Here is a 9,273-nt window from a genome sequence, read left to right as displayed (position 1 = left end):
CATTTTCAGACCAGAAAGAAGACCCTCACCTGGTAACAAATCTACTGGTACCTTCAACTTGAACTTCTCAGCCTCCAAAACAGTGAGAAATATTTGTTTCTTGTTTAAACCACCCAGTTTTTGGTAATTTGTTATAGCAGCTCAACCTAAGACAAATAGTGGTATCCTTATTCTGTATAGAATAAAAATCCAGTTTGATGGAAATTTATAGGAAACCAAATATGGGGATACATATTTACTTGTTTAACAATTTTTTCTACTAAGTGCCTGCAACTGTTCAAAAGCTATGGAATAAAATTCTGGTGAAATAGAGAGAAAATGTCAGCCACTAAGGGAGTGAAGTAAAAAAGGAAATAAAAATAAAGCCTAATCCATGTCAAAAAGCAGAACGCAAGGTGCTATGAAAACCACAGAGCAGTTTGTAATATGGTAGATAAGCTGATGAAGGACTTTCCGGAAGAAGTTACATTTAAGTTAAGACCTGAGGACATGTAGAAATTTGCCAAGTAAATTGATGACAGAGATGGAATGAACAGAATGAGTATTTGCTAAATAGGATAAAATCATCTGGGAAAGTACAGAAAAAAGGTTTTTTGATACATGAAATTAATTTAAGTCTGTTACTGGTGTCCTAAAGACATGACAAGGGGCAAACACGGAGCAGGTAATAAATGTCCCTGAAATATTTGTTGGAAAATTTTAACTTAATATTGAGGAAAATGAAAGGTTAGTGAGGAAGTTTAAGCAAAACAATGACAAGAACAAATTTTGATTTTCTTTCAGAAAGATGATTCTGAACACATTGAATAAAGAATTCTGGCCATCATTTCAATACTGTCTACTTAGCCTTGACTTAACCATGACAACGGTGTCCTAACTTGTCTTCCCATATACATTCTTGACCATATAATGTATTTTTCATATAGAATCTGATCATGAGATATCAAATGTGTATGTCCTATGTCATTTCTCTGCCGAAAACTCTCCAAGGTCTTTGCATCTCAATATCATTAAAATCCAAACATTTTTCAAATTCCTATTAGTTCATAAACAGTCTGTCAGGCCTCTGAGCCCAGGCCAAGCCATCACATCCCCTGTGACTTGCACATATACGCCCAGATGGCCTGAAGTAACTGAAGAATCACAAAAGAAGTGAATATGCCCTGCCCCACCTTAACTGATGACATTCCACCACAAAAGAAATGTAAATGGCTGGTCCTTGCCTTAAGTGATGACATCACCTTGTGAAAGTCCTTTTCCTAGCTCATCCTGGCTCAAAAAGCACCTCCAATGAGCACCTTGTGACCCCCGCCCCTGCCCACCAGAGAACAACCCCCTTTGTAATTTTCCATTACCTTCCCAAATCCTATAAAATGGCCCCACCCCTATCGCCCTTCCCTGACTCTCTTTTCGGACTCAGCCTGCCTGCACCCAGGTGAAACAAACAGCCATGTTGCTCACACAAAGCCTGTTTGGTGGTCTCTTCACACGGACGCGCATGAAATTTGGTGCCGTGACTCGGATCGGGGGACCTCCCTTGGGAGATCAATCCCCTGTCCTCCTGTTCTTTGCTCTGTGAGAAAGATCCACCTATGACCTCAGGTCGTCAGACCGACCAGCCCAAGAAACATCTCACCAATTTCAAATACGGTAAGCGGACTCTTTTTACTCTCTTCTCCAACCTCCCTCACTATCTCTCAACCTCTTTCTCCTTTCAATCTTGGCACCACAATTCAATCTCTCCCTTCTCTTAATTTCAATTCCTTTCATTTTCTGGTAGAGACAAAGGAGACACATTTTATCCGTTGACCCAAAACTCCGGTGCCGGTCACGGACTGGGAAGGCAGCCTTCCCTTGGTGTTTAATCATTGCAGGGATGCCTCTCTGATTGTACACCCACATTTCAAGGGTGTCAGACCACGCAGGGACACCTGCCTTGGTCCTTCACCCTTAGCAGCAAGTCCCACTTTTCTGGGGAAGGGGCAAGTACCCCAACCCCTTCTCTCCTTATCTCTACCCCTTCTCCACTTTTCTGGGAGAGGGGCAAGTACCCCTCAACGCCTTCTCCTTCACCCTTAGTGGCAAGTCCCGCTTTCCTGGGGCAGGGGAAAGTACCCCTCAACCTCTTCTCCTTCACCCTTAGTGTCAAGTCCCACTTTCCTAGGGGGCAAGAACCCCCCAATCGCTTATTTCTGCACCCCAACCTCTTATCTCTGTGCCCCAATCCCTTATTTCCATGCCCCAACCCCTTCTCTGCTTTTCTGGAGGGCTAGAACCCCCCACCCCTTCTCCATGTCTCTACTCTTTTCCTTGGGCTTGCCTCCTTCACTATGGGTAAGCTTCCACCTTCCATTCCTCCTTCTTCTCCCTTAGCCTGTCTTCTCAAAAACTTAAAACCTCTTCAACTCACACCTGACCTAAAACCTAAATGACTTATTTTCTTCTGCAATGCTGCTTGACCCCAATACAAACTCGACAGTAGTTCCAAATAGCCGGAAAATGGCACTTTCATTTTTTCCATCCTACAAGATCTAAATAATTCTTGTCGTAAAATGGGCAAATGGTCTGAGGTTCCTGACGTCCAGGCATTCTTTTACACATCAGTCCCTTCCTAGTCTCTGTGCCCAGTGCAACTCGTCCCAAACCTTCCTTCTTTCCCTCCCGCCTGTCCCCTCAGTCCCAACCCCAAGCGTCGCTGAGTCTTTCTAATCTTCCTTTTCTACAGACCCATCTGACCTCTCCCCTCCTCACCAGCCCAAGCTAGGTCCCAATTCTTCCTCAGCCTCAGCCCCTCCACCCTGTAATCTTTTTATCGCCTCCCCTCCTCACACCTGGTCCGGCTTACAGTTTCGTTCTGTGACTAGCCCTCCCCCACTACCCAGCAATTTACTCTTAAAAAGGTGGCTGGAGCCAAAGGCATAGTCAAGGTTAATGCTGCTTTTTCTTTATCCCAAATCAGATAGCGTGTAGGCTCTTTTTCATCAAATATAAAAACCCAGCCCAGTTCATGTCTCCTTCGGCAGCAACCCTGAGAGGCTTTACAACCCTAGACCCTAAAAGGTCAAAAGGCCATCTTATTCTCAATATACATTTTATTACCCAATCTGCTCCCAACATTAAATAAAACTCCAAAAATTAAATTCCGGCCCTCAAGCCCCACAACAGGACTTAATTAACCTCACCTTCAAGGTGTACAATCATAGAAAAAAGTTGCAATTCCTTGCCTCCACTGTGAGACAAACCCCAGCCACATCTCCAGCACACAAGAACATCCAAACGCCTGAACCGCAGCGGCCAGGCGTTCCTCCAGAACCTCCTCCCACAGGAGCTTGCTACACATGCCGGAAATCTGGCCACTGGGCCAAGGAATGCCCACAGCCCGGGATTCCTCCTAAGCCGCGTCCCATCTGTGTGGGACCCCACTGAAAATCAGATTGTTCAACTCACCTGGCTGCCACTCCCAGAGCCCGTGGAACTCTCGCCCAAGGCTGTCTGACTGACTCCTTCCCAGATCTTCTTGGCTTAGCTGCTGAAGACTGACACTGCCGGATCGCCTTGGAAGCCCCCTAGACCATCACGGACACCGAGCTTCGGGTAACTCTCACAGTGGAAGGTAAGCCCATCCCCTTCTTAATCAATACGGAGGCTACCCACTCCACATTACCTTCTTTTCAAGGGCCTGTTTCCCTTGCCTCCATAACTGTTGTGGGTATTGACGACCAGGCTTCTAAACCTCTTAAAACTCTCCAACTCTGGTGCCAACTTAGACAGTACTCTTTTAAGCACTCCTTTTTAGTTATCCCCACCTGCCCAGTTCCCTTATTAGGCTGAGACACTTTAACTAAATTATCTGCTTCCCTGACTATTCCTGGACTACAGCCATATCTCTTTGCTGCCCTTCTTCCCAATCCAAAGCCTCCTTTGCGTCCTCCTCTTGTATCCCCCCACCTTAACCCACAAGTATAAGATACCTCTACTCCCTCCTTGGCGACCGATCATGCACCCCTTACCATCTCATTAAAACCTAATCACCCTTACCCCACTCAATGCCAATATCCCATCCTGCAGCATGCTTTAAAAAGATTAAAGCCTGTTATCACTCGCCTGCTACAGCATGGCCTTTGAAAGCCTATAAACTCTCCTTACAATTTCCCCATTTTACCTGTCCTAAAACCAGACAAGCCTTACAAGTTAGTTCAGGATCTGCACCTTATCACCCAAATTGTTTTGCCTATCCACCCTATGGTGCCAAACCCATATACTCTTCTATCCTCAATACCTGCCTCTACAACCCATTATTCTGTTCTAGATCTCAAACATGCTTTCTTTACTATTCCTTTGCACCCTAAATCCCAGCCTCTCTTCGCTTTCACTTGGACTGACCCTGGCACCCATCAAGCTCAGCAAATTACCTAGGCTGTACTGCTGCAAAGCTTCACAGACAGCCCCCATTACTTCAATCAAGCCCAAATTTATTCCTCATCTGTTACCTATCTCGGCATAATTCTCATAAAAACACATGTGCTCTCCCTGCCAATCGTGTCCGACTGATCTCTCAAACCGAAGCACCTTCTACAAAACAACAACTCCTTTCCTTCCTAGGCATGGTTAGCGTGGTCAGAATTCTTACACAAGAGCCAGGACCGCACCCTGTAGCCTTTCTGTCCAAACAACTTGACCTTACTGTTTTAGCCTAGCCCTCATGTCTGCGTGCAGCAGCTGCCGCTGCTGTAATACTTTTAGAGGCCCTCAAAATCACAAACTGTGCTCAACTCACTCTCTACAGTTCTCATAACTTCCAAAATCTATTTTCTTCCTCATACCTGATGCATATACTTTCTGCTCCCCGGCTCCTTCAGCTGTACTCACTCTTTGTTGAGTCTACCACAATTACCATTGTTCCTGGCCCGGACTTCAATCCAGCCTCCCACATTATTCCTGATACCACACCTGACCCTCATGACTGTACCTCTCTGATCCACCTGATATTCACATTTCCCCAAATTTCCTTCTTTCCTGTTCCTCACCCTGACCACGCTTGATTTATTGATGGCGGTTCCACCAGGCCTAATCGCCACACACCAGCAAAGGCAGGTTATGCTACAGTACAAGCCACTAGCCCGCCTCTTAGAACCTCTCATTTCCTTTTCATCGTGGAAATCTATCCTCAAGGAAATAACTTCTCAGTGTTCCATCTGCTATTCTACTACTCCTCCGGGATTATTCAGGCCCCCTCCCTTCCCTACACATCAAGCTCGAGGATTTGCCCCACCCAGGACTGGCAAATTAGCTTTACTCAACATGCCCCGAGTCAGATAACTAAAATACCTCTTAGTCTAGGTAGACACTTTCACTGGATAGGTACAGGCCTTTCCTACAGGGTCTGAGAAGGCCATCACAGTCATTTCTTCCGTCCTGTTAGACATAATTCCTCAGTTTAGCCTTCCCACCTCAATACAGTCTGATAACAGATGAGCCTTTATTAGTCAAATCAGCCAAGCAGTTTTTCAGGCTCTTAGTATTCAGTGATACCTTTATATCCCTTATGGTCCTCCGTCTTCAGGAAAAGTAGAATGGACTAAAGGTCTTTTAAAAACACACCTCACCAAGCTCAGCCACCAACTTAAAAAGGACTGGACAATACTTTTACCACTTTCCCTTCTCAGAATTCAGGCCTGTCCTCAGAATGCTACAGGGTACAGCCCATTTAAGCTCCTGTATAGACGCTCCTTTTTATTAGGCCCCAGTCGCATTCCAGACACCAGACCAACTTAGACTGTGCCCCAAAAACTTGTCATCCCTACTATCTTCTGTCTAGTCATACTCCTATTCACCATTCTCAACTACTCATACATGCCCTGCTCTTGTTTACACGGCTGGTTTACATGGTTTTCCCAAGCCATCACAGCTGATATCTCCTGGTGCTATCCCCAAACTGCCACTCTTAACTCTTGAAGTAAATAAATAATCTTTGCAGGCAGGACTATGCTGAATCTCCTTAGGCACTCTCTAATCAGATATCCTGAGTCATCCCAATTCTTAGACCTTTTATACCTGTTTTTCTCCTTCTGTTATTCCATTTAGTTTCTCAATTCATACAAAACCGTATCCAGGCCTTCACCAATCATTCTATACGACAAATGTTTCTTCTAACATCCCCACAATATCACCCCTTACCACAAGATCTCCCTTCATCTTAATCTCTCCCACTCTACGTTCCCACGCCACCCCTAATCCCGCTTGAAGCAGCCCTGAGAAACATCGCCCATTCTCTCTCCATACCACCCCCCAAAAATTTTCGCCGCCCCAACACTTCAACGCTATTTTGTTTTATTTTTCTTATTAATATAAGAAGGCAGGAATGTCAGGCCTCTGAGCCCAAGCCAAGTCATCACATCCCCTGTGACTTTCACATATATGCCCAGATGGCCTGAAGTAACTGAAGAATCAGAAAACAAGTGAATATGCCCTGCCCCACCTTAACTGATGACATTCCACCACAAAAGAAGTGTAAATGGCTGGTCCTTGCCTTAACTGATGACATTACCTTGTGAAAGTCCTTTTCCTGGCTCATCCTGGCTCAAAAAGCACCCCCACTGAGCACCTTGCGACCCCCACCCCTGCCCACCAGAGAACAGCGCCCTTTGACTGTAATTTTCCATTACCTTCCCAAATCCTATAAAACGGCCCTGCCCCTATCTCCCTTCGCTGACTCTCTTTTTGGACTCAGCCCGCCTGCACCCAGGTGAAACAAACAGCCATGTTGCTCACACAAAGCCTGGTTGGTGGTCTCTTCACATGGACGTGCGTGAAACAGTCTGCTTCTCAATTAACTCTTTGATGTTACATCTTTCCTCCCTTTTTCTGGCTCATTTCCCTTTTAACTACACTAATTCCCCCTTTTTCTTGATGTGTCACAAGTCTATCATCTAGACCTTTGCACTTGCTCTCCATACCTTCTTCCCCCACCTTCCCTTGCACATACAATTATTCCTATACTTAAATAATTTTTCTGCTCAAATGTCATCTTTTGCAGGCCTTTCCTGAACACTCTCTATAAAATATTATCCCAAGCATTCATTATTTCGTGTCCCACATTTTTAGAGCATTTATTGCCACCTAAAGTTATAGACTTATCAATTCATCAGAATGTGAGTTCCAGAAGAAGAAAAGTATATTTTCATTGTTATATCAATGTCACTTAGATGTGTTTCTGGCACATTTTAAGTGCTTAATTATTATTTATGAATCAAATTAATGTTGAATGAACTTGTCTGCTAAATTATTTGCACCTTTCTTTTTTCACTTTACATATTAAAATAGTCCAATCACAAATGCAACTAACTCATCACACCCTCCACAGCTACCACAAAAGAGCTAGAGGCTTTGTAGATCAAGAATTGTAAGATCAAGTTTCCCAACAGGATAATTTAATTATTCTATACATTCATGGCACCTAACCAGAAATGTGCTTTTCTGATATATCCACTCTTTGTTTCAGCTCAATTGTATGCATAATTATGCACAATGTCTCCAAACCCCAAATTCTTTAATCTCAGCTTCTGGCCAGTCTTACTACTTTCATTTAGAAAACATAAACTTCACTTAAAAATGCTTCATCTTCTGATCACTCATCCATGTCTCAAATCAACCTACAATCTTGTCTTCCCATTACAATATAGAAGCTCCTTTCACTCTTAAATAGTCGGAATTTTTCCACCAGTGTTTTAAGTTTCTTTTCTTTCTGCCTAATTAAGAACCAACTACAATTTATGGCATTTCCTTTCTTCACTTGGATATTCAACCACTCCTTCTCAGGAAAATATTTCTTGAAAACTTAACGTTTTTTTCCCATTAAAACGAAGGCCAGAATCTTTGTTGCATTCAACTCTTCAAATACCTCTATACAGAGTCTCAAACTCTCTCCTTATCACCACACTCTACTTCAAATATTTTTTTCCCCATTCGTCTCAGCCCATTTATCTGAGACGTGGCACCTGGTCTTATCATTTAATATTTTTTGAAAGAAATAATAAATTATTTTTCTAAATCTATTTTTTAGCTTATATTTGATGTTTTAGCAACACTTCAAACTATTAATTGCTACAATTAAGAAACTGTCAATTCAGTTGGCTTCTCTAACACATCCTTTTTTTATATATTTTCCCTCACACTCTGCTTGCTCTTCTTAGTCTACTTTTCAGGCCCATTATTCTTTTTATCACCCTAACGAGCACTTTTGAGCATCATGTTTGATCGGTTCCTCACTATTAGTTGTTTTTCTGCAAGAACTAATAGTTAAACTAACCATAAATCGCCAAACTTTTTAGGAAAACTGAGACCAATAATGAGAGATAACAACAAAGCATGTAGCAAATTACTAATATTATATTAATAATGATGTTTAAAACTAACAGATATTACATAAAAGATATCTGTAATACCTAACAATTTAAGACTGAAATATAAAACTTAAAACATAATAGTGGGGATTGATGGAAAAAATAACAAACTATAAAAGCAAGTTAGAGTATGTGGATGAATAAATATTTCCAAAATAGATATCTAAATTTTAAGGAGTTGTAAAGAATGAGAAAATGTTGAGACATGAAGTTGATCTTGTAGTTGTAATATGTATGCAACAGTAATTAAATAATAAGAGAGAAAATGATTGAAATGGGGAAAATGTAAGGAAGAAAGAGATAGAGATCAGATGGATAGATAGAATAAAATTGTTCAGAAATGTAGAATAGTATGAATCTTCCTATTAAAAAGTCCACTTTAGTATTAACTTACACTAGTTTGTGCTGTGGTGAAATTTCACAACACAAAAAAACAATAAGGAGGTCCTAAAATCTTTCAAAAGCCAAACAAGCAAATAAATAATTTCTAGCTAACTAAGATAGTTTTGAAAAGGCCATGGCAATAGGAAAAACACAGAATGACTTCAAGCTAAATAGCTAGGAGTTATTTACCAATGGTCAACTGGCATTCCTGCATTTTTTAAGAAAAGAGAATTCTATAGTGCCCAAGGGACTTCAGTTCTATCCACAATTATTAGCACTTTCTGTTACATATTAAGTAACAACCCAGGTCACATTTCATAGCCATATTTCTGGATTAAAATAAAAAATTAAATTCACTATGATTTTTTTTTTTCTTGTGGAAACGGTTAACCAGTTCTTAACAGTTTTTCTTCATCTGAAGAAATGTGATTTTGGGAAAATCACACTTAAAGGGAAAGTGATAGCTATTTACAAATTTTAATGCAAC

General features: G+C 41.9%; 1 annotated feature.

Moving 5' to 3' along the window:
• Nucleotides 6,046-6,647: an enhancer, noted in NCBI's record as "OCT4-NANOG-H3K27ac hESC enhancer chr5:18669117-18669718 (GRCh37/hg19 assembly coordinates)". NCBI's record gives its function as "activates a minimal SCP1, AML or CMV promoter by ChIP-STARR-seq in primed H9 embryonic stem cells {active_cell/tissue: H9 hESC(primed)}" and the evidence as "EXISTENCE:reporter gene assay evidence [ECO:0000049][PMID:30033119]".

This window comes from Homo sapiens, chromosome 5, assembly GCF_000001405.40.
Source record: "Homo sapiens chromosome 5, GRCh38.p14 Primary Assembly".
In the NCBI taxonomy this organism is placed as follows: Eukaryota; Metazoa; Chordata; class Mammalia; order Primates; family Hominidae; genus Homo; species Homo sapiens.
Note: the sequence above shows the minus strand (reverse complement) of the source record. Positions and strands in the feature narration are given on the sequence as shown.